We start from the raw sequence: 23,533 nt of genomic DNA, 5'->3' as shown, positions 1-23,533 counted from the left end.
ACCCCTTCTTTACAAAAAAAAAAAAAACAAATTAGCGAGGCATGGTGGTGCACACCTGTGGTCCCAGCTCCTCTGGAGGCTGAGGCAGGAGGATCACTTGAACCTAGGAGGTCAAGGCTGCAAGTGAGGCAAAATTGCGCCACAGTACTCCAGCCTGGGTGACAGATCAAGACCCTGTCTCGAAAAATCCCAAAACATTTTTTGGGGTAGAGATGGGGTCTCGCTATGTCACCCAGGCTGGTCTTGAACTCCTGGCTTCAAGCGATCCTCCCACCTTGGCCTCCCTAAGTGTTGGGATTGCAGGTATGTGCCACCTTGCCCAGCTGGGCAAGATATTTGACAAAGACTGTCTCCTTTGACCAAAACCTTAGTCAGTCTCCTCCATGTACTCTGCTTGACTAGGCCTGACCTGTCCTTATAAAGGTCCTTATAAGGACTCTCTCTATCCTTATTGAATCTAGTTTGAGCAAGAATCCTGCTAAGTCAATTTAGGGGAAATTTCCCACCCTTGGTATCTGACTACCCTGGATTCTTATCATCCTGGCCTGCCTTCAGCAATAATCCTATCAAGTCAGTTTAGCCAGAAACCCCTTGTCCTAGATGTTTCCTCTTAGTAGTTTCTCATCCACTGACCCTACCCTGCTCCTTGGTTACAAATCTCCACTTGTCATTGTTGGACTTAGAGTTGAGTCCAATCTTTCTCCCACTGCAAGACCCCATTGCAGTGGTCTGCATACCTGTCGCCATGGCCTTGAATAAAGCCTGGCCCTACCATCTTTAATAAGTGTCATGAGTAATATATTTCTTTAAAAATATGTAACCTCTCTTTGCCTCAGATTCATCCCTCACAGGGTCATTTGGAAGATTGAAATAGTGTGAGAGAAGGTGCTTAGGAAATGAGTTCCAATCTTGACCTCTACTGGGTCTCTCTTATCTGTTCTCTTCCCCAGAGCAGTATCACTTGTGTTCAAAAGAGTGCAGACTCTGGAGCCAGACTGCCTGAGTTTGAAGTCCTGCTTTGCTTCTGACTAGTTGTGAGAACTTGGGAAGTGGCTTAACTTTTCAGTACTCACTTTCTTCATCTGTAAAACGAGGAGGATGGTAATGCCTACCTCATAGGGTTGTTGTGAGGACTAAGAGTAAATATGGCCGGGCGCGGTGGCTCAGGCCTGTAATCCCAGCATTTTGGGAGGCCGAGGTGGGCGGATCACAGGGTCAGGAGATCGAGACCATCCTGGCCAACATGGTGAAACCCCGTCTCTACTAAAAATACAAAAACTAGCCAGGCGTAGTGGCACATGCCTGTAATCTCAGCTACTCAGGAGGCTGAGGCAGGAGAATCGCTTGAACCCGGGAGGTGGAGGTTGCAGTGAGCTGAGATCGTGCCACTGCACTCCAGCCTGGCAACAGAGCGAGACTCTGTCTCAAAAAACAAAACAAAACAAAAAAGAGTTAATATGGGCCGGGTGCGGTTGCTCATGCCTGTAATCCCAGCACTTTGGGAGGCTGAGGCAGGTGGATCACCTGAGGTCAGGCGTTCGAGACCAGCCTGGCCAACATAGTGAAACCCTGTCTCTACTAAAAATACAAAAATTGACCAGAGTGGCTCATGCCTGCAATCCCAGCACTTTGGGAGGCCAAGAGGGGCAGATCACCTGAGGTCAGGAGTTCGAGACCAGCTTGGTCAACATGGCGAAACCCCATCTCTACTTAAAAAAATAGCAAAAAAAAAAAAAAAAAAATTAGCCAGGCTTGGTGGCACGCACCTGCAACTCCAGCTACTTGGGAGGCTGAGGCAGGAGAATTGCTTGAACCCGGGAAGCAGAGGTTGCAGTGAGCTGAGATCAAGCCACTGCACTCCAGCCTGGGTGACAGAGTGAGACTCTGTCTCAAAAAAATAAAATAAAATAATAAATAAATAAATAAATAAGTAAATAAGAGTTAATATGCTCACAACAGATCCTGAGACATGGTATGTGAGTTAAACAGTACTACTGGGTATGAATGTTTCTCATTCATAAGAACCATTAGGTTTTAAGGTCCCTGAAGCCTCAACCTACCATCTGCAGAAGGAGCAGCCAGAGGCTCCCTTTCCTTTGCTTACAGGGGTCTGGGGTCAAGGTCATTAACCCAATCTCCCACTGTCTTAACTTCCTGAATGGTGGTCTGGAGTTATTCTTCTGGGTGCTTGCCAAGGCCCATCTGCGGGTCTTCCTCAGTCTCAGTGGCAGATGAGGAAGCAGTGGTTTCCCCAGGCCAGAGACATCTCCACAGCAGGTTCCTCAACTCCACCCTGCCCAATGGACCCTCCTTTTTGACTCAGAGGCCCCCAGAATGTGGGGTGGGCCTTTGGAGCTGACTGAAGGACTCCAAGGGGATAGGGTAGGGCGTGGTTACCGCCCAAATTTAGCCTTTAGTCAGGGAAGGGGGTGGTGGGGGAGTAGATGGTTTGGGGACGACTGGACCTCAGACTGGGTCCCTTGTAAGGATGTGAGGGCAGGCTCAAGAGGGGTTTCCTCCGAGTCAAACACATTCACTCCCCTCCGTCTTCTGGTTTTTAGTCCCTGCCAGGGGACCACACAGGTGAGTCCAGGTGAAAGGAGCAACCACAACTGCCGGCCACCTCTACTCCGCGCCAGACGAAACCGCCCCAAGGGCGCCGCACTTTACCGCCCTCTGTGACCTGTCGCTGTCACACACCGAGTGAGTGTGAGAAGACGAGACCTCGGGAGAAGGAGGGCGACAGCGGGCACCAAGATACACAGGTCCTTTATCCATACCTCCTAACAGCCACCCGCTATGGGCCGGGCCTCCGTCCTCCCAACTGCCAGCTCCACTGGAGACACTCCAACCGCACTGGGAGCGCCTTGTGAGCAGGACACGCATGCGCGGGTAGCACCTCCACCAGCCAGCCGGCTGACCCCGCCGGGGACCTGGCAGGGATGGGGAGCGCATGCGCAGATGGCGCGCACCGCTCCCAAAAGACAGGGTGTGGGTGGCGACTAGACTCTGGACCTGTGGATCTCGGTGCCCGCTGTCGCCCTCCTTCTGCCGGGTCTCGTCTTCTCATGCTCACTCGGTCAGGTCTATAGTACAGCCTCGTACTGGAGTCTTAGTGTAAGTCCTTCCGTTTAATCAGCAGTCCCTCTAATAAAGAAAATGAATGAGTGAATAGCAAACATGGTAAATCTAAGGTGACTTTGCTTAAAGCGGGTGAGGCCAGTACATCGCCACCCAACCCTTGGTTCCGGAGCAGGCGTCTTTTCTTCCTCACCTGGAAGTGGCAGAAAAAAAAGAACTTGTCTTCTGCCCGTGCCCGATCAGGGGCTCCCCACTGCACCCCACATCCCCGCCTTTGGGACAGTCTCACATGGCGAAAGTGGCCTAGGGTGGAGGGCACTGCACTAAGCACGACCCTGACTACTGACTGACCGCTTTTTATAGCCCAGGCACCTTGCAGACATGATTCGTTTCGGATAAGTCAAGTATTCATATTCCCACTTCACAGTGGAGGAAATTGAGGCTGACCCCAAAGCCGCCCCTTTAGTGGGTGCGCGATCAAGACTTATTACATAAACTGCCTTTAAGAGATGGCACCACCACCCCGCGGGCCCCCTACTTCTGGTTGTTGCCCAATCACACTGGCAGGGGTTTCACTGGCAGCTGCAGCCCCGCCCGGCTGACTCATCTTCCCCAAAGCCGTTTAATTCTGTTCCAAGTCTTTCCTAACTCGACCTTGGCGGGCGCGGAGCGGAAGGCATTATTGTCCTCCCGATTTGGGGCCGGGGGAGTTGGAAAACTAGTCTAACTCCCGGGCTGGAGAGCTAGGAAGCCCAAGAGGGCCAAGTCCTGGCTGTCTGCCTCTGACGACGAGCAAGGTGGAGGCCCTTGGTTAGCAGGATGGGTGGTGAGGAGTCCGGGAAGGAGAAGAAAGGCTCAGCGCGGCTTGCCTGAGCCTCCCTCCTCCCAGCTCCCGGCCCCTGCTGCCGGCGGCTGTCACTCCTCGCTGTGGTGCCAGCTGGCTCCCGCTTCCTCGCCTTTATTCCTACCTGCTTGCTCTCCTGCCTTCCTTCGGGCTTTTCACATCCTCTTCTTTTCCTCTCTTGCTCCCCTCCTGTTTGCCTTTCTCGACTTTCATATCGCCAGAAGATGGTCGTCTCCCTCCCGTTCCTCCCAACTCTGAATAAAAAACAGAAAACCCAACTGGTCCTATAATGGCTTCCCTAAGTCTACAGATGACTCCTGGCTTTCTAGCTCACCTGCTGGGGGGGATGTGTAAACCATGAGGTGATTTTTCCAAGACTGTGAAAGGAAGGTGGATATAAGCGGAACTGACACCGTATACTGATCACAACACTTACTGATTCCACCGGAAGATACAGGTTTATTGCTATGTCACACATATGCATTCATTCACTTAGCAAACACTGCCATCTGTTCTATGCCAGGCTCTCTGTGTTGCGTAGCAAGAATACAGAGATCAGAATAGATCCTCAGTCTCTCAGGTGGGTAAGTGTTGGTTCAGAGCTGTGGGACCCTCAGAAAGGGCATCGCACCATCCTGGGGGTTATCTGTGGGGTAGGGTTGCCACATTTAGCAAATAAAAATACAGGGTGCCCACAAGTCTGAATTTCAGATAAATAACAAATAGTTTTACAATATAAGCATGTCCCAAAGATTGCATGGGGTTACTTATATGAAAAAATTATTCGGCCGGGCACAGTGACTCACACCTAGTACTTTGGGAGGTCGAGGTGGGTGGATCATCTGAGGTCAGGAGTTCGAGACCAGCCTGACCAACATGATGAAACCTCGTCTCTACTAAAAATACAAAAATTAGCCGAGGGTGGTGGTGGGCGCCTGTAGTCCCAGCTACTAGGGAGGCTGAGGCAGGAGAATTGCTTGAATCCAGGAGGCAGAGGTTGCAGTGAGCTGAGATCGTGCCACTGCACTCCAGCCTGAGTGACGGAGCAAGATTCTGTCTCAAAAAAAAAAAATTCATCTTTATCTGAAATTCAAATTGAATTACTGAGCATCCTATACCTCATCTGGCAACACTACTGTGGGGGTATCAAGTAGTGTGTTGTTACTGGAAAGTGTCGTGTTATAGAGGCCGAAGTTAGCCAGCAGCCATCGGATTATGGAAAGCCTTAAAAGTGAGGAGGTGGGGGCCGGGCGCGGTGGCTCACGCCTGTAATCTCAGCACTTTGGGAGGCCGAGGTGGGCAGATCACCTGAGGTCATGAGTTCGAAACCAGCCTGGCCAACATGGTGAAACCCTGTCTCTACTAAAAATACAAAAATTAGCCGGGTGTGGTGGTGGGCGCCTGTAGTCCCAGCTACTCGGGAGGCTGAGGCATGAGAATGGCTTGAACCTGGGAGGTGGAGGCTGCAGTAAGCCGAGATTGTGCCACTGCACTCCAGCCTGGGCGACAGAGCAAGATTCCCTCCAAAAAAAAAAAAAAGTGAAGAGGGGGCACTGAAGGGGTTTGAAAGCAAGTGGGTAACAATAAAAATTGGGTTTTAGGAAGAGGCTTCTGCTGGTTTCTTGGATGATCCTTTTAAGAGCAACAATAGTGGAGTCTGACCAGTTGCAATTGTACAGGCAAGAGATTTTGGATGGTGATAATAGGAAAGTAGGTGGGAGGAGGTGCCAGATCCAAAAAGTATGTAGGAGTTAAATCAGCAGGACTTGGCAGTTGCTTAGATGGGGTGAAGAGGGCGTGAGTCCCAGGATCTGGCTTGGGTGTCTGGGAAGTTAGTACTGCAACCAATTGAGATACAGCAGTTTTAGGGGGCAATGATTGAGTTTAATTTAGGGCATCTGGTGTAGAGGGCCAGCAAATTATTTGCTATATGATTCTGAAGTTCAGTGGAGAAGATGAGCTCAAAGTAGAGACTGGGAAGTCCTCAGCAGAGAGGGAGTATTGAAACCAGGAGATGGATAAGCTCCCCAGAGAGGGGGCAGAAGAAAAAGAACCCAGGGAAGAGACAAAAGAACAATCAGGGGAGTACAAGAAACCAGGAGAGTCAGGCTTCCTGGAAGCCAAGTGGGAGTTTCTAGGAAGAGCAAGTGATGAATATGTCAAATGCAGCCAGAAAGGTCTGATTACACAAAGCCTGAAAAATTACAGTTGATTTAGGCAACGGTAAAGTCACCATAACCTGAGGCTGTCATCCTTCAGGTTCATTCAGACATCAGCCCCATTTATTCAAGTGGCAAACACTCAGCCAACATGCGTCCTCAGCATCCTCTCAAACGCTCGCCACAGTAATTTTCATGTCCCCTGCAGTCCTTCAGCGTTTAAACCAATCATTCAGATTGTGCCCCAGCTCACTCAGAAATGACAGGCTCTGTATAATCATCACTTGGGGTTCTTCTTTTCCCCTCACATAGATGATGATATAATTGGGATTCTTTATATTTGTCAATGTCACCTCAGAGCCAGCTGGAACCAGTGCAGCTCTGTCTTTGCAGAGGTAACTGCAGGTGCCCACAAGAGTTAAATGGGTTATCTTGTGGTTTTTATCTCCCAGGAGTGAAGACCACCCAGGAGTAAAGACCACCTTTATTCTTCTCTGTTTCCTGGCAGGGCTAATTTGACACAATGCTGCGTGTTGCTTGTTTTGGTGTCCTTGCTGGGCCCCTTTGCGCACCTCTGGCCCTCAGGTTCCCATGAGACATGCATCCAAACTGTTGAGTATGTGCGTGTAAAGGTTGACATCACTTTATTCCCTATTTTTTTGTGTGTGTGGAGACAGGGTCTTGCTATGTTGCCCAGGCTGGTCTCAAACTCCTGGGCTCAAGACATCCTGCTGCTTCAGCCTCCCAAAATGTTAGGATTACAGGCGTGAACCACTGCACTCAGCCCCTATTCCCTATTTTCTAATGGTTTTGAGACAGAGGTGCGTGCAATCAAGAGAGAGGATGCTCAGTAGCAGAAATCCCCAAGAAAGTGGGAGGGGCTGGGACACAAAACCCAGTGGAAGGGTGAGCCCTAAACAGGACATCTCTGAGACCCAAGGAAAGGATGGTGTGGGTGGGTAGAGACAATTTTGGAGGTGGCAAGAGAGAAGTATTCACTAATGGCTTCCGTTTGCTCTAAAAACAGTTCTTTTAATTGTGCAGCCCTCAGAACCAGAAGAAGTTCAGAGAGCTCCCTCTAAACACAGTTCTTAACCCACAATCCAAAAGACCCCTGAGGAGTCAGTGAATAGAATTCAAAGAGCCCATGGACTTGGATAGAGGGGAAATTGCATCATTATTTTCACTATTACTAACAGAAATATAGCATATCCTTCCAGGGGATGTGGGTAACAAACTGCAGTAATATTAGCACCTGTGACTTTGACACTAAGAGAGATCAGATTTTCATTATTACGGTTGTTGCATATCTCTCAAAATAACATCACTATTTCAAAAATCATGGTTGTCACTAGACCTGTTGATAGAGCTTGCTATTTAATGTGTTAATAAAGAAGCACATATATTACTACATTACAGGTGCGTTTCCTTTTATTTTGAAAATTGTACCCCAATATAATTGGTTTCTTTTGTAATCCTACTTATAGGACGCATGCATTATTCTGGGAAGGGGTTCCTAAGACTTCACCAGACTCCCATAGGTGTCCGTAGCATAGAAAAGGATGAGAAACACTGCTCTGAAGAGTAACCATAGCTAACACTTATATAGCTCTTGCTAAAGGCCAAGCACTGTTCCAAGTCCTTTTTAAATACATAGTTGTTAACTCATTTATTCCTAACAACCCTACGAATAGTCATTTGTTTATACTCATTTTACAGAAGAGGAAACTGAGGCACATCAGTTAAGTAACTTGTCCAGGGTCATTCGGCTAGTAAATAATAGAGCTGAGGCTGGGCGCGATGGCTCATGCCTGTAATCCCAACACTTTGGGAGGCTGAGGCAGGGCGGATCACCTGAGGTCAGGAGTTCAACACCAGACTGGCCAACATGGTAAAATCCCATCTCTACTAAAAATACAAAAATTAGCCAGGCGTGGTGGCCCATGCCTGTAATTTCAGCTACTCTGGAAGCTGAGGCAGGAGAATTGCTTGCACCCAGGAAGCGGAGGTTGCAGTGAGCCAAGATGCGCCACTGCACTCCAGCCTGGGCAGCGGGAGACTCCATCTCAAAAAAAAAAAAAAAAGCGGTAGAGGGGAAGAGATCCAAGACAACTCGAGAACATGGTCAGAGAGAGAAAAGATGGTGTGTAGATGCTGGGGAGGGCAGGAGGTTATTCCAGGGAATGACAAGTGCAATAAGGTGGCCTGGACAGGTGGTTAAAGTAGAGAGGAGGTGAAGGTTCCCGGAGTTGGGCAGGTGAAAGAATCATGAAACTGTGCCTGGAAATTCTTCCAAGATTAATTCATTAATTCATTTATTTCACACATTTGTTTTAAGTGTCTTGTACACGCCAAGCAGTGTTCTCGGCATTAGGTGAACCAGCTGGACAAGCCCCTGGTGCCATGGGGCTTACCTTCCAGCAGGGGGAGAACTACACAAACAAGGCCAGGTTAGCGGAGCATGCAGGCTCACAAGCCTGTAGGCACAATCCTGCAATGCCAAAACTTCTGAAAAGCATAAGGTTGTTTTTTCATACTTTGGAGCCCAAACTCAATAGATGACAAAACCTGACCTGAAGTAGTGTGAGGCTATTTATAGTCTTTATTCACACTTGGTGTGAATTTTCATACCTTTCACTTCAGAAATATTAATATTTCATTACGATGCTCCAGGCTTTTCTCAATAGTTATATAATATAGACTATACAAAAAGTTATGTTTGACTAGTTTTTTTAAAGAGTTATGTAATATAAATTACATGTCTTCCTTTCTCAAATTGAAAAAAACTCTGAATTCCACAGCACATCTGGCCCTAAGGTTGGAAAATGGATTACGGACATGCAAGTGCTATGAAGATAATTCAAATATGCAATGGGATAGTGTCTAGGTGGCTACAGTTTGAATATTTAGGGAGGACCCCTCTGGGAAGGTGATATTTAAGCTTAGTTCTGAATGAAAAAAAATAAAAGCAGTCATGCAAAGATCAGGGGAGAGCATTCCAAGCAGAGGGAGCAGCTAATGCAAAGATGAACACAAAGGAGGCCACTGTGGCTACAGCATATTGGGCCGGATGAAGAGTGCTATAAATTGATGGAAGCACTTCATGTAGATAGGAAAATTGTGAGACCGGTGTGCTAAATCCTTTGGTAAATACGGTGTAGTGATTATGAGTGTGGTGGCTGTCAACAACTAGAAGGCCTGGAGGGGAATCTTCCTGGGTGAGAAAGCAAGTGGGGGGAGATATTTCAGATAGAGAAAACATAAAGCAGTTCTGAGGCTGAAATGGTGGGCTAAGATTTATGGCCTGAAGACCTTGGTTTGAGGAAAAGTATAGAAGGAAGACAGATTAGATATCTGGGCTCAAGACTCTAATGACATAGCTTCTGGAAGCTGCCTGAAAGATGTTCTAGGATGACAAAGACCTGGGTCTTAAATAATAGTCTCTGGTTGAAGTCCAATCTGCAGTGTGTGATCTGGGCTTTTGGACTTAAATTAGACAAAGATAGAGGAGAGTAGCAAAGCCTGAACTGATGAAAGATGTTTTTGCCTCTTTAGGTTTGTGCTTCTCAGCAGCTGTCCTAGAATGTCTGTCTCCAAGCATCTCTCTTAGCGGCTTTCCACATTCATCTCTCTGTGATCCTACCTGGCATCTCTCTTCCTATCTCGGCCTCAACATATTTCTCTTTACATGGCTCTCTCTCTCTCTAACTCAGACTCCTCATCTTTGGATCTCCTTGTCTGAGTGTCCCAGAATCTGGTTCCGTCCATTCGTCTGTGTCTGTACTGTAATTCTCTTTCTCCACCTGGACTGTGCCCTCCTGGAAGGCATGAATCTTTTATTATTCCGCTGGGTATCCCAGGTGCCCCGCACACCGTCTAGCATATAGGAGTCTCAAATACATTCATACTTGAATTAAGACTTTTTCAGAGGAGAAAGGCATCCGTTCTCAATATCCACCCCTCTTCCCCCACGCGGAGCAGGCCACTTGCCAAAAGGCCAGCTAGAGAGTAGGGCGAGGGGTGTTGTGGTATTGTACTTCTGCTATTGGTCTCTTTCCCCAGTTGAAATAACTCTGGGGATACCTTAGCAGGCGGAATCCGCCCTCTGGCCAAAGGACTAGCGTACCAGGCCACGCCCCCACGTCTCATGCGGCAGCGGCAGACGCCCCGGCCCGTCGCATCCGCCCCTTCCGCCGCTTCGCCTCGGCCAATCAACGAGCGCCCGCGCCCCCATCCCCATCCCGTGGAGTGGCCGGCGACAAGATGGCAGCAGCGTGTCGGAGCGTGAAGGTAGAAGGTTCTTTGCCTCTGTTGCTTGCCTTCCTTTACGGGCCGGGACAGCGCGGCCGTGGAACTAGGAGAAAGAGATCGGTTTCGAGGGAAAGGGTCATGCTTATGTAGGCCTGGTATTGTGGCCGTTGGGCTCAAGAGGTGAAAGTCAGCACTCCGCGGCGCATCTGTCTGTCTGTCTGTCTGTCTATCTATCTATCTATCAATCATCTATCTATCTATCGTCACGGGACGGGCTGTCTGGGGATGAGATCCCTTCTGCCCCCGAGGTCCCAACGCTGAGGAGAAGCAGCACACCTAGTTTACCCGCAGGGGTGACCACGACCTCTCCCCTCCCCCCTTCTCCTCAGAAGCCTGGAGAACAGGCAGGCGACAGCGTGGGGATGGTCTGGGCAATGTAACAGCTGACCCTGACCATGTCCCTTTTGACAGGGCCTGGTGGCGGTAATAACCGGAGGAGCCTCGGGCCTGGGCCTGGCCACGGCGGAGCGACTTGTGGGGCAGGGAGCCTCTGCTGTGCTTCTGGACCTGCCCAACTCGGGTGGGGAGGCCCAAGCCAAGAAGTTAGGAAACAACTGCGTTTTCGCCCCAGCCGACGTAAGTGGGGTCACCTCTCCTCTCCCAGGGTGTGCATGAGGTCACCAACACCGGCCTGGGAACCTGTGGGGGTCCCTCCCATAAGGGTCTCCTCTATGGGGGCGGTAGACCCATCTCCTTGTCTCTTTTGGCCTGAGCCTTCAAGCACTGTGGGACCACCTGTGATAAGGATTCTCTAAAGCTGGGATTCACAACAATGAGGATGGGGATTGGACGTAACAATCTCCTGGAGGAGTTATGTATGGTTTGAAAATGCATTTTGTGCCTTGTAATTTTATATTTACAAAGTCAAAAAACTTGTTTTCATGAAACAAACTACAGAAAGTGAAACTTGATGAAATCATCTTAGCAGGTAAGGATACAAAAAAGCTAGTTTATCTTCCTATCAATAATTCTCACAAGAGGGTTATTTTTTATTTTTATTTTTGAGATGGAGTCTCGCTCTGTTGCCCAGGCTGGAGTGCAGTGGCACAATCTCAGCTCCTTGCAACCTCCATCTTCTGGGTTCAAGCGATTTTCCTGCCTCAACCTCCCAAGTAGCTGGGATTACAGGCACCTGCCACCACGCCCAGCTAATTTTTTTTTTTGTATTTTTAGAAGAGATGGGGTTTCACCATGTTGGCCGGGCTGGTCTTGAACTCCTGATCTCACGTGATCCGCCCGCCTCGGCCTCCCAAAGTGCTGGGATTACAGGTGTGAGCCACTGCACCCAGCCTCACAACAGGGTTGCATTAGTGCTCTGATCCACAGCAATTAAGAATCTTCAGGAGCATGTGAATTTATCAAGAAGGTATTGATTTGAAAAATGTTTTTGCAACACTGCTCTATATTACCTAATATTTTCACCTTTGACCTACTCTCTCAATTTTTTTTTTTGGGACAGAGTCTCACTGTTGCCCAGGCTGCAGTGCAATGGCACGATCTCAGCTCACTGCAACCTCTGCCTCCCGGGTTCAAGCGATTCTTCTGCCTCAGCCTTCCAAGTAGCTGGGATTACAGGCATGTGTCACTATGCCGGCTAATTTTGTATTTTTAGTAGAGACGGGTTTTCACCACGTTGGCCAGGCTGGTCTCAAACTCCTGATCTTAAGTGATCCACCAGCCTCGGCCTCCCAAAGTGCTGAGATTACAGGCATGAGCCACCGCACCCAGCCTATCTCTCAAGTTTTACAACCTTTCTCTTGGCCTCTCCCTTCTCACAAATCTCTTCTCACCCAAGGACTGGGCATGCCCTGCCCTGCCCTCCCTCAGGTTTAGTGGGAAGAGTGGGTGCTGGGAGATGAATACCTTCTCCACTTCTCTCTTTGAAGGTGACCTCTGAGAAGGATGTGCAAACAGCTCTGGCTCTAGCAAAAGGAAAGTTTGGCCGTGTGGATGTAGCTGTCAACTGTGCAGGCATCGCGGTGGCTAGCAAGACGTACAACTTAAAGAAGGGCCAGACCCATACCTTGGAAGACTTCCAGCGAGTTCTTGATGTAAGGCCTTGGAAGTTCTCCAGGGATAGTGGTAGTAAGAAGTATCTGGCTGTGGAGGACCCCAAAGTTTTTAGGGGACAAAGGCTTCTTCTGCCTCAGGTCCTATAGCATGTCTCCATCTGTCCTACAGGTGAATCTCATGGGCACCTTCAATGTGATCCGCCTGGTGGCTGGTGAGATGGGCCAGAATGAACCAGACCAGGGAGGCCAACGTGGGGTCATCATCAACACTGCCAGTGTGGCTGCCTTCGAGGGTCAGGTGTGTGGGCAGGGGTAAGACTTATGCCTCCTAAGTGACTTGTTGGGGCCCTCCCACCTATGACTTCTACTCTTTCTCCAGGTTGGACAAGCTGCATACTCTGCTTCCAAGGGGGGAATAGTGGGCATGACACTGCCCATTGCTCGGGATCTGGCTCCCATAGGTATCCGGGTGATGACCATTGCCCCAGGTAGACATATCCCCTCTCTCCATCATACCTGGGATTGGGTGGGATCCATGGACAGTTGAGAGGGGAAGGTATCCACCACCTAAGCAGCAGCAGCCTTTTATCTTTGGGCCCCAGAGAAGCACCAAGAAGTAGGGCTAAAGTAAGGAAGAACCAGGTAATCATGAAAGCAAGGGTGAGTCTCTGAATTTGGCTATATTGTTTAGGTCTGTTTGGCACCCCACTGCTGACCAGCCTCCCAGAGAAAGTGTGCAACTTCTTGGCCAGCCAAGTGCCCTTCCCTAGCCGACTGGGTGACCCTGCTGAGTATGCTCACCTCGTACAGGCCATCATCGAGAACCCATTCCTCAATGGAGAGGTCATCCGGCTGGATGGGGCCATTCGTATGCAGCCTTGAAGGGAGAAGGCAGAGAAAACACACGCTCCTCTGCCCTTCCTTTCCCTGGGGTACTACTCTCCAGCTTGGGAGGAAGCCCAGTAGCCATTTTGTAACTGCCTACCAGTCGCCCTCTGTGCCTAATAAAGTCTCTTTTTCTCACAGAGTGTAGGCAGTGTTGTGTGCTAGGGGGCCTGGCATGGGGAAGAAATGTGAAGGCTGTGACAGGGTTGGATGCTCAGAGCTCCAGGGTGGGGTGGGAAAGGCAGTACCTTCATAATACTTTGTGTCCTGTTACAACATGTGGACTTGATTTTGAGTGCAGAACTTTATTACCTAGGTTAGAAGGTGGGAGTATGCAGCATTTTTCTCTTTGACTCCTAACCACCTGTGAGCTTGATGGAGGAGAAGGGAGAGAGAGATAGACATCCTGAACTTAGCGGCTGCTGGTGTTAAACTGCTGGTGATACTGGGCTGTAGGTTGATTGGTGTAGATTACTGAATTCAGGTAATCCTGCCTGTGAAAGAAGTCCAGAGGTCTCAGCTGACATGCTTTCCCTCTCTCCATGGTTCCTCACCATCCCTCCTCTCCCTCCCTTGGCATTTATCTCCACCACTACCACCTAGAACTCACTGGGCTTTTTGCTCATTAGCCAGCTGCTGGTTGAAGGATCCTAGACCCCTTTGAAATACAGCACACAATTCCCTCTCCTGCTCTTCTAGCTCCAGCACTGCCTGGGCTGAGCTCATGGTCTGGCTTTTCCATTCAGTATCCAGTGTTTTCTCAGCCTGACGGTGTGCTTGCTTCTTAGAGCGTTGTACTTCCTGCTCTTTCCTGATGGCAGCTTGCTGCTCTGGAGTCATGCCCTTCCAGCAATAGGGCAGGACCCGGTAGGGAGCCATAGGGTGTTGGGCGACCTGGGGGTTTTCAGTCAGTAGGTCACTCGTGCTCTGGTGCTGGATCTCCGCAAGGTTGGCCTTCTGTTCACGCTGACGCTCACAGCGCTGACGCCCAGCCTGCACAGCTGCCTGGTGGAGCCCCCAAATGCAAACATTTGGGTGCCCAACCTCAGGGAACTCTGTCACAGGGGAGGGGGGAACATGGCCCTACTCTTCCATCTCAAGGAGAAAGAACAGATACTGCATGGCCTTTCAATGCCCCTAATATGTGTTGGGGAGAATGGGCAGGGAACTTCTCTGCCTTCAGGAAGCCTTTAGACTGGGAAGCGGAGGATGAGAGGGCAATGTTCTATTCTCAAGTCATCCTGCTTCTGGAGGTGGGGAGAAGTGACTTGTACCCTAAGAGGGGCCTTCAGTGAAGGGGGAGTACTCAGATGAGAGGGCTGATGCTGATTTAAGAGGGGATGTAAGAGGAAGAATATGGCTAAGGTTCTCCAGGATTTTGTTCAGGAGTTGGGGAGAGCCCAAGGTACTGCATGGCTCAGGCCATACCTGCGCTTTGTTGGCGTTGGCCATGGCACACATCATGGCCGCACGACAGGACTCCTCCAGCCTGGCCAGATGGGTGGCCTGTGCATCCATGGCGAGGCGCAGCTGGTTACTGAGCGCATCTACACAGAGAAATATGGCCGGGGTACTGTACTGGCTTGCTCCATTCCTGTTTCACTCATCCAGCCATTTGTTCAGCAAGTTTTGTGTTTGTGTGTGTACGAATGTTTAGGAGGGGGTTAGTGTCCGAGTTGTAGGGATGTGGAAGGAACTAGGTGCAGCAACAACGATTTCTCAAGCGCATAACTAAAAGATGCCTCCAATGGACCTGGGTCCCAATGTCAGTTCTGCTGCTTCTGAGCTGTGTGATTTTGGGTAAATCATTTCATATCTCTGAATCTCAGTCTAAGGGCCATGTGCTGGGTTCTAATGATACCATCGAATTAAATCCTGTCCTCAGAGAACTCCCTGTCTAGTTGGGGACACAGATCAAACATAGACCACAATCTGGCAAGAGCAATGGCAGGGATGTACACAGGGTATTAAGAGGGTTTTGGATGGTGGAAAAGAGGAAGGCTTCCAGGAAGAGGTGATCCTTGAAATACATTTTGTATACAGGCTAAAAGAGCAAAGGGCATTCCAGGCTGAGGGCATGGCATGAGCAAAGGTACTGACAATTTTTTTCTGCTCCAGCCACACTGAGCTCCTTGCTGTTCCTAAGACCTGTCAGACACTGTACTATGCAACTGGGAGATGGGTAGACATGAAAGAGATGGTTCATCTTCAGTAGGCTGACATTTTAGGGAGAAGACAGATATTAAACAAATACTTTCACAATTAGCTACAACTACAATAAGTGGTCCAGCAGAACAGAGTGCTGTAACAGGGTTGATGTGAAGGGTGAACAGTGCAAGTAGATAAGACATGGTCCTTGCCCTTGAAGGGCTTCTTCTAATGGAAGAGAAGGATGTGGCCACAGACAATATCATAATAGTAGCTACTCTATGTGGTATAAATTATTATTCTCATTTTAAAGATGAAGAAACTGAAGCACAGAAGGGAAAATTCATTTGCCCAAACCAGCTAGTAAGTGGCAGAGCCATTAGGTCTGTCTGCACTGTGCTGCCTCCACGTAATGGAGTGCCAAACTAATCAAGAACAATGCTACACTGTCAGTTACTGAAGGAAGTCAGGGAGGTTGGGGTCTGCACAACCTAACATTTCAGCACCAACCCTATGGATAAGTGGACCTCCCCACACAGTTCTGGTCCCCTGGCTGCTGTACTCAGCTTAGGACAGATCCCCACTAGGCCTCAGGTCTCTGAGTCTGGAGGGCCGGGCTGCTTACCTGTATAATTCTCATCAACCTTGGCTTGCTGTTGCTCCTGCTGTTGCCTTTCCAAGTTGTACCTGAACTGCCCCTGCTGCATTCTCAGCCGTGTGTCCCTGTCTAGGTCTTCCCCAGAGAAGTACTGCAGGCTGGCTGGACCAGGATAGGTATTACTGTAACTAAGATAGGTTGGAAGCCCCTTCCAGACTTGGCCTGGATCCCAAAGACTAAATTCACGCCCGTTCTTGAGCTGCTGCTTCTGCTCCCGAAACTCCTGGACTTTCTTGGCCAGCTGACGTGTTCGATCTGCCTCTTCCTTCTCTAACATCTGGACTACCACATCATACTGCACCTGGCTGGTACCTGGGGGTGGTGAGCAAGGATATGGAGAAGATACCCCAGGAGGGACAGAGTCCACTTAGCATGTCCTCTACTCTCAAGGTCCATCCAATTTGTCCCACCACCCCAGGGCCTCAGGCCACAGAGGCAGAACTGCCCTACCTCAGCCCACTCGAGCTCTTTCTTTACACCCTTGTCTGGCCCCTGGCTTTTGGCTTTTACCATAAGCTGCCTCCTTGCTTCTTTCTGCTGCTTCCCGACGCTTTCGGTCTCCCACCTGGTTGTTCAGGGCCTGGACATCCACCTGATCCCAAAGAAAGGAGCACAATCAGAGTAGGGGCCCAGCAGGGGGCCTTCAATGTCCTACCACAAACTAATTAGAATTTACCTGTTTCAGAATCCTGTAGCTCCCCAGTACCTACTGGATAAAGTTCTAGCTCCTGAGCATGGTTTGTAAGCCTCTCCATGGTCTAGCCTCTGCCTCCTTCTCTGGCCTCATCTCTTAGTCCCACCTTACCCTTATGAGCTGTGCTTACAGTTCCCTGAATATCTTAGGCTGTTTTGAACCAATAGCCTTTGCTCAAGCTGCTCCCTCCACTTGGAACACTTTCCTCCCCTCTTTACACAAATTCCAATTTGTCCTTCGAGACCAGCTCAGCCTTCACTTTCCTGACCCCTCAGGCAGGTTCTACTCCTGTAGAATCTAGAACCCACTGTCTACATTATATTGATGTTCGCCTCTCTGTATTCTCTCCTCCACCAGACTGTGAACCCTTTCAGGGCAGAAACTGGGCCTTAGTCATTTTCGTATCCCCACTGCCCAACACAGTGCTTGGCACAGAGCAGGCCCCGAGGAAATGCTTGTCAGCTTGTCAGCTGGATCTCAATCAGAACACTAATACCCTAGCCAACTTCTTACGGCAGGCACTATGCACTGGTTTTCAAAGCTGCCACTCTGTGTTAACACTCACCTGACTTCCTTCAGCCTCATTTTACAGAAGAGGAGCCTGGGGCTCAGAGAAGACAGGTGATTTATCCAAAGCCACACACATAACAGTCAGCAGACCTGGCCTTAAATACTTACGGGGTCTTTTCCAGAATACCATGCTGCATCCCCCCTCTATCCACTCACCTAGCAATCTTTTGTTTCTTAAACTATCAATATTTTCTCTTTTATTATAATTCATTTATCACATTTCAAAATCATACAAAAAGGAATACAGTTTAGTGAGGCGTAAGTGTCCCTTCCATCTCTGTCTCTCAGCCTGGTTAAGTTTCTCAACATAGCCTTGCAGAGATAGTTTAGGTATATGCAGTAATTTTGAGACAGGGTCTCACTGTTGCTCAGGCTGGAGTGCAATGGTGTGATCTCGGCTCACTGTAACCTGCTCCTCCTGGATTCAAGTGATTCTTGTGCTTCAGCCTCCCAAGTAGCTGGGATTATAGGCATGCACAACCACGCCCAGCTAATTTTTGTATTTTCAGTAGAGACAGGGTTTCACCACGTTGGCCAGGCTGGTCTTTAACTCCTGACCTTGTGTGATCTGCTCACCTCAGCCTCCTAAAGTGCTGGGATTACAGGTGTAAGCCACTGCACCCGGACTCCAAATATTCTTTAGGCCTCTTTTAGCTCCATGTTGCCTGTCTCAAGAACCAGGTCACATGGCCCAGAGCTGACTGGAGAAGGGTCAGCCGTCTCCCCTAGTCTCTTCCCCTGCACTGACCTATCCCTCTTCCCAAGCTCTTCCCAGGCCTGTAGGGGTGGGTGCCTTCTCTCCCTCTCTTTCCTTTCCTGCCCTAGGGGCCTACTTGAATCAGGGGAAGGGCTATCATGGGCACTGTTACACATTCCTCTCCAGGTGTAAGAGTGAGGTGGCCCTGATCCTGAGCAACAGTCCCTACTACCCACTCACCCCCATGACTCGGTTCCGCACATTGAAGAATCGGTTTTGTCGCTCTTTTTCTCGATTTCTTCTAGCCTCGATGGCTGCTGCTTCCTTGGTATCTGTTGACTGTTTTATGTTATACATCTGGAGCAAAAGGGAGGTGGAATGGCCCATCAGTGCCGACCACCGTCTTTGACTACACGCCACCCCCATTCCTTTCTCCCTATAATATTTCAGCAGTTATTGATTCCTACTGATTTTACTTCCTGATATATTTCGTATCTGTGCCCTCCATCTCTGCTGTCACCAGCTTAATTCAGGCCTCACAATCTGGTGTCAGGCAGTATCTCAGGAGCCCCACTGGGTTCTCTTGCTCCAACGTTACCCTCTCTGCACTGGATTTCTCTGCACTGGCTACCAGAGTGATCTTTGGGAAGCAAATCTGACCATGGCACTCCTCAGCGTAAAGCCTTTGAAAGCACCTTTAAAGCAATGGCTCCCCAGTGCTTATAAGGCCCAACCCCCTTTGCCAGATTTATAAGGTTCTTCATGATCTGACCCCTGCTCACCTTTCTAAGCCTCAAACACATCTACAACACTCCTTTTTCATTATACTCTATTCAGTTTTCCTTATTTCAGTAAGTGGCACCACCATTCACCAAGTTGCTCCGGTCAAAAACCTAGGAGACATCCTTTAATCCTTCCTTTCCCTCACTCCTTCTTCTTTCAAAATAACCCTTATCCAAGCCACCATTGCCAGCTTCCTGAATAACCACAACTGTCTCCATGTTGGTATTCCAGCTTCCTCTATTGACTCCTATAGCCCAATCACAGAAACCAGAAGCAGCTTTCTTTTCTGAAATATATGTCCCCCCACCCTTTTTTTTTTTTTTTTTTTTTTTTTTACTTTTATTACTTATTTTCTGGTCAAATGAAAGGCTAGAAAGCTAAATTTGCCTGTGTTCCTTCATATTTTGGGAAGCTCACTTTTGGCATGTAACCCAGCCAAAGCTGCAGCCAAAAAAACTTTAGCAAACATAAATCTGATCATGTCTCTCACCTGCTTAAATCCTCCACTAGCTTCCCACTATACTTAGAATCAGATCCAAACTCCTTACTGTGGGCTTTCAAGATCTAGTTCCTGCACACCTCTCCAATTTGTCTCAAACCACTGTCTCCCTTGCTTACAGTGCTCCAGGCAAGCTGATCAAGTCCTCCAACACAGTAATTGTTCCCACCCCGGGGCCTTTGTATGTGCTGTTCCTTTGTTTGGAGCGTGATTCTTTAATTCCTCCTATAGCTATTTGGATCTTTTTGGTGTTTTGTTTTGTTTTCCATTTTGTAACTGTGAAGTAGTTGAACATATATGCCCGGCTGATTTTTGTATTTTTAGTAGAGATGGGGTTTCACAGTGTTAGCCAGGATAGTCTCAATCTCCTGACCTTATGATCCACCCTCCTTGGCCTCCCAAAGTGCTGGGATTACAGGCATGAGCCACCACACCTGGCCCCATTTAATTTTTTTTAATATAGATGGGGTCTCACTATATTGCCCAAGCTAGTCTTGAACTCAAGCAATTCTCCTGCCTCGGCCTCCCAAAGTGCTGGTATTACAGGCATGAGCCATTGTGCCCGGCGTCACTTAGGTTTTTAATCCACTTGGAGTTGCATTTTGTGTATGGTGTGAGATAAGGATCCAATTTAATTTTCCCCCCAAGTGCCATCTCATCTTTTTTAAATTTAAAATTTTATTTTATTTTTGGCCGGGCGCGGTGGCTCACGCCTGTAATCCCAGCACTTTGGGAGGCCGAGGCAGGTGGATCAGGAGGTCAGGAGTTCAAGACCAGCCTGGCCAACATAGTGAAACCCTGTCTTTACTAAAAATACAAAAAAATTAGCCAGGCGTGGCAGTGGGCACCTGTAATCCTAGCTACTTGGAAGGCTGAGGCAGAGAATAAAATTTATTTTATTTTTAATTTGTTTTAGATGGGGTCTCTCTCTGTTGCCCAGGATGGAGTGTAGTGGTGCAATCATGGCTCACTGCAGCCTCAAACTCCTGGGCTCAAAGGATCTTCCTGCCCCAGCCTCCTGAGTAGCTGGGACTACAGGTGTGTGCCACCATGCCTGCCTAATTTTTAAAATTTTTTTGTAGAGATTGGGTTTTGCTATGTTACCCAGGCTCACCATCTCATCTTTTAAAAGGGAACAGTATTTCCCCATGGATTACATGAGATTGCTGTCTTTTAGCCATTTTATCCCCTCAGCCTGATTGTTTCTCCCAGCTGAACTTCATTTATGGCTCCCCTACTAGATTCCATCTACCAAGCTTCCTCCCTTTATTTATTTTTGAGACAGGGTATTGCTCTGTCACCTAGGCTGGAGTGAAGTGGTGCGGACACCACTCACTACAGCCTCAACCTCCCAGGCTCAAGTGATCCTCCTGCTTCGGCATCCTGGGTAGACCAGAGGTGAGAGCTGCCACACCCAGCTAATTTTTTAATTTTTAGTAGAGATAGGGTCTCACTATGTTGCCCAGGCTGGTCTTGAACTGCTGGTCTCAAGTGATCCTCCTGCCTTGGCCTGCCTCCCTCACGATGGGATTACAGTTGTCAGCCACCATGCCCAGCCACTTCCTCACTTTCCTGGACTTGTCCTAAGTCTTTAGGACTCTTTCTAGCCTTCGGACATAATTTAATAAATAGTTAAAGGAATAATTATGGCAACCACCAGATCCTTTCCATGTTTAAGTCTGAGAATGGCACCAACTTACCTACTGGTTTCACCTGCCATTACAGTATAAGGTCACTGAAGGGGAAGATTCAGCTGACATTTTAAGCTTCTTGGATTGCTAAGGCCCCTGCCTTATTAATGATAGAGAGCAGAGAGGGAAGAGAGGTAAGGTGGCATTGTGGTATAGAGCTGTGGGAATGGGATGGGGGAGAGGCATGGAGGCAGAGGTAGGTGGAGGTGGAGAGCGCTGGCTTAGGGACCCTGACTCCTGGGGGTTCACACAAAATACCTTTCTCAGTAAGGAATCCCGATTTTGAAGCTCTTAGGTTGGCTCTGCATGCAACTTTGTTCTTGGGTTACGGCGGCAGTTTCTGAACTCTGCTTGGTACAACAGGAGGGAGGCAGGGGATAGGGGTAGTATCTCAGGCCGTAGCCTTCCCCAGCCTGTATCCCTGTTGCCTGGGAGTAGCCCCAGTCCCATTCACAACCCGTCCGCCTTCGCAACCCGTCCCGCCACCAATCCCACCCCACCATTAGCAAAGTCTGAGCTCACCTAACACTGAATCCTCCCGTTGGCCCCTCCTTCCCGTCCAGCTCTCCGCTCCCCCCGGGTCCTTCCAATTCCCGACCCTGTCCTTGTCCTAGCCTTGAAAGCTGGCCAGGCTAAAGCCACAGCCGAGCTCCCACCTTCCTCTTGCCCTGAGGGGCATAATCCTGCTGTGACTTCTGTCTCAGCAAGCGTGAGCTCAGGTCTCCCCCGCCTCCTTGAACCTCAAGAACTGCTCTGACTCCGCCCAGCAACAACTCCTCCGGGGATCTGGTCCGCAGGAGCAAGTGTTTGTTGTTGCCATGCAACAAGAAAGGGGGGCGGAGGCACCACGCCAGTCGTCAGCTCGCTCCTCGTATACGCAACATCAGTCCCCGCCCCTGGTCCCACTCCTGCCGGAAGGCGAAAATCCCGTTAGGCCTGGACGTATTCTCGCGACATTTGCCGGTCGCCCGGCTTGCACTGCGGCGTTTCCCGCGCGGGCTACCTCAGTTCTCGGGCGTACGGCGCGGCCTGTCCTACTGCCGCCGGCGCCGCGGCCGTCATGGGGTTCCTGAAACTGATTGAGATTGAGAACTTTAAGTCGTACAAGGGTCGACAGATTATCGGACCATTTCAGAGGTTCACCGCCATCATTGGACCCAATGGCTCTGGTGAGATAAACCTGGCCGCGGCCCTGCGCACGTCCCGGCCTGGACCCCTTATCCGGTGCCGGAGTAGTACAACCCAGCCCATGTAACCTGAAACGTCGCGGACCCTTACGGGTTCCTTGCCCGTCCAGAGGGGGTTCTGCTCGAACCCACTCTCCCCGCGCGGGTGCTCTAACTCGAACCCCTTCCAGGTGTCACTTGCCGCTTCCTGCGCGGCCCCCGCCCCGGCCCAGTGGTACAGGCCGAGCTGCCAGTTACCCCGCCTACTTCCCCCTCCCGCCAAAGGAGTCGCGTCTGGAACCAGCTTCCCGCCAGCTCAGTCCTCCGCCGCGCGGCTCCCCGCCGGACCGGCCGGAGCCGGCTTCCCAGCCTTACTTGACCCCCTCCGGAGAATGTGGGGACGCTGGTAGCTCTCCCGTGGCCTTCGGTCCCAAACGGTGCACTTCTGTTTCAGCCCAGCGTCCTCTCTCGCCTCGCATTGGTACACTCCAACTCCTTTCTACTCTTCTCTGGAGGCGGCACTTTTGAATTTCAGACCCAGCGCTCCAGTCTTTAGAATGCTTGAGGTGTCGATCCCCACCCCCCACCGCTATGTCAGAGGTAGTTGCCTCGAACTCGCCCTTTTCCTACCACCGAAACCGTCAAAAGCCGAAATTAACTAATTTACCAAATTTGTTGAATGCTTATTGTTTATCAGGAGTTATTCAGTTGCAAGTTGTGGAAACAGCGGAGAATAGAATAAACCAACTCCATGCTCACAGGGAACTTATATTCCAGAGGGGAAAGAAGATAAGGAGAAAATAAGATGGTTTTAGGCTGTCATAAGTGCTATACAGGAAATGAGACAGGTGGATGTGATAAAGTGACTTAGGTGGTGTCTTTAGAAAGGGTGGTCAGGTAAAGCCTCTATTTTGTGTCTTCCCAACTCTAAACGATACACCGTGGATTCCTCTCACCTCAGATGTCCATTTGGAATCCTGCTGTATTCTTCCACCCCAGAGATGTTCTAGCTGAATGATATCCTAGCCTAAGAGGCTGCCCTTGCTGAAGTAGCACATACTGAGTACCTTTCCTGGAGACTGAGTGTCTCAACAGTGGCACTATTGACATTTCCAGCGAGATAATCCTTTGCTGTGGGATGTGCTCTGTGCATTGTAGGATGTTTAACAGCATCTCTGGCATCTACCTGCTAGATAACAGTAGCACCCCTGCTCCCCAGGCATGACAATCAAAACTGTCTCTAGACATTGCTAGATGTCACAGAGGGTGTGTGTGATTCCCCCAACCCCCCAACTTGTTTGAGAACCACTGGCCTGGAGGGCTAATGCTTGGTGT

At 49.5% G+C, this 23,533-nt stretch overlaps 3 protein-coding genes across 9 annotated transcripts in view, besides 6 other annotated features; 2 read left to right on the top strand and 1 right to left on the bottom strand.

The window, feature by feature from the left end:
• Positions 10,317-13,435, top strand: HSD17B10 (hydroxysteroid 17-beta dehydrogenase 10). Of its 2 annotated transcripts, none has more exons than NM_001037811.2 (6): positions 10,317-10,374; positions 10,807-10,971; positions 12,282-12,446; positions 12,577-12,705; positions 12,787-12,868; positions 13,099-13,435. In NM_001037811.2, the coding sequence occupies exons 1-6, from the start codon at positions 10,348-10,350 to the stop codon at positions 13,287-13,289; spliced, it is 759 nt and encodes a 252-aa protein (NP_001032900.1). In that variant the 5' UTR covers positions 10,317-10,347; the 3' UTR covers positions 13,290-13,435. The 2 variants fall into 2 exon arrangements, with proteins under 2 accessions (NP_001032900.1, NP_004484.1); NM_004493.3 differs by having other exon boundaries at positions 10,323-10,374; positions 12,787-12,895; positions 13,099-13,432.
• Positions 13,578-21,820, bottom strand: RIBC1 (RIB43A domain with coiled-coils 1). 5 transcript variants are annotated; one of them, XM_005261988.5, is made up of 8 exons: positions 21,555-21,820; positions 21,291-21,379; positions 18,300-18,416; positions 16,609-16,690; positions 16,066-16,410; positions 14,721-14,839; positions 13,903-14,297; positions 13,578-13,786 (listed from the first exon to the last, which is right to left on the bottom strand). In XM_005261988.5, exons 3-8 carry the CDS (start codon positions 18,414-18,416, stop codon positions 13,705-13,707), a joined length of 1,140 nt encoding a protein of 379 aa, XP_005262045.1. In that variant the 5' UTR covers positions 21,291-21,379; positions 21,555-21,820; the 3' UTR covers positions 13,578-13,704. The 5 variants fall into 5 exon arrangements, with proteins under 5 accessions (XP_005262045.1, NP_001026915.1, XP_005262047.1 ...); NM_001031745.5 differs by having other exon boundaries at positions 21,689-21,820; XM_005261990.5 differs by lacking the exon at positions 16,066-16,410 and having other exon boundaries at positions 21,689-21,820.
• Positions 20,936-21,907: an enhancer, noted in NCBI's record as "H3K27ac hESC enhancer chrX:53449735-53450706 (GRCh37/hg19 assembly coordinates)". NCBI's record gives its function as "activates a minimal SCP1, AML or CMV promoter by ChIP-STARR-seq in primed H9 embryonic stem cells {active_cell/tissue: H9 hESC(primed)}" and the evidence as "EXISTENCE:reporter gene assay evidence [ECO:0000049][PMID:30033119]".
• Positions 21,732-21,781: an enhancer, noted in NCBI's record as "active region_29662". NCBI's record gives its function as "activates an Ori minimal core promoter by ATAC-STARR-seq in GM12878 lymphoblastoid cells {active_cell/tissue: GM12878}" and the evidence as "EXISTENCE:reporter gene assay evidence [ECO:0000049][PMID:35858748]".
• Positions 21,908-22,882: an enhancer, noted in NCBI's record as "H3K27ac hESC enhancer chrX:53448761-53449734 (GRCh37/hg19 assembly coordinates)". NCBI's record gives its function as "activates a minimal SCP1, AML or CMV promoter by ChIP-STARR-seq in naive and primed H9 embryonic stem cells {active_cell/tissue: H9 hESC(naive and primed)}" and the evidence as "EXISTENCE:reporter gene assay evidence [ECO:0000049][PMID:30033119]".
• Positions 21,965-23,533, top strand: part of SMC1A (structural maintenance of chromosomes 1A) — a 48,580-nt gene continuing 47,011 nt past the window's right edge. The window contains exons 1-2 of one of the 2 annotated variants that reach the window (NM_001281463.1): positions 21,965-22,201; positions 22,653-22,798. In NM_001281463.1, coding sequence (NP_001268392.1) covers positions 22,756-22,798 — 43 coding nt within the window. In that variant the 5' untranslated portion in view covers positions 21,965-22,201; positions 22,653-22,755. The remainder of the gene's footprint in view (positions 22,202-22,652; positions 22,799-23,533) is intronic. The other variant, NM_006306.4, reaches the window with a different exon arrangement.
• Positions 22,072-22,251: an enhancer, noted in NCBI's record as "active region_29661". NCBI's record gives its function as "activates an Ori minimal core promoter by ATAC-STARR-seq in GM12878 lymphoblastoid cells {active_cell/tissue: GM12878}" and the evidence as "EXISTENCE:reporter gene assay evidence [ECO:0000049][PMID:35858748]".
• Positions 22,442-22,491: an enhancer, noted in NCBI's record as "active region_29660". NCBI's record gives its function as "activates an Ori minimal core promoter by ATAC-STARR-seq in GM12878 lymphoblastoid cells {active_cell/tissue: GM12878}" and the evidence as "EXISTENCE:reporter gene assay evidence [ECO:0000049][PMID:35858748]".
• Positions 22,612-22,791: an enhancer, noted in NCBI's record as "active region_29659". NCBI's record gives its function as "activates an Ori minimal core promoter by ATAC-STARR-seq in GM12878 lymphoblastoid cells {active_cell/tissue: GM12878}" and the evidence as "EXISTENCE:reporter gene assay evidence [ECO:0000049][PMID:35858748]".

Source organism: Homo sapiens, chromosome X (genome assembly GCF_000001405.40).
Source record: "Homo sapiens chromosome X, GRCh38.p14 Primary Assembly".
NCBI lineage: Eukaryota > Metazoa > Chordata > Mammalia > Primates > Hominidae > Homo > Homo sapiens.
The sequence above is the reverse complement of the archived record's forward strand: the minus strand, read 5'-3'. Positions and strand labels throughout refer to the sequence as shown.

Coding starts and splice junctions, on each gene's coding strand:
- HSD17B10 (NM_004493.3), top strand. CDS start 10,348: ATGGCAGCAGCGTGTCGGAGCGTGAAG. Junction 12,706..12,786: donor TGGCTGCCTTCGAGGGTCAG/GTGTGTGGGCAG, acceptor CTCTTTCTCCAG/GTTGGACAAGCTGCATACTC. Junction 12,896..13,098: donor GGTGATGACCATTGCCCCAG/GTAGACATATCC, acceptor TATATTGTTTAG/GTCTGTTTGGCACCCCACTG.
- RIBC1 (XM_005261988.5), bottom strand. CDS start 18,416: ATGTATAACATAAAACAGTCAACAGATACCAAGGAAGCAGCAGCCATC. Junction 14,840..16,065: donor GGTTGATGAGAATTATACAG/GTAAGCAGCCCG, acceptor TTCTCTGTGTAG/ATGCGCTCAGTAACCAGCTG. Junction 14,298..14,720: donor CCAACGCCAACAAAGCGCAG/GTATGGCCTGAG, acceptor GGGCTCCACCAG/GCAGCTGTGCAGGCTGGGCG.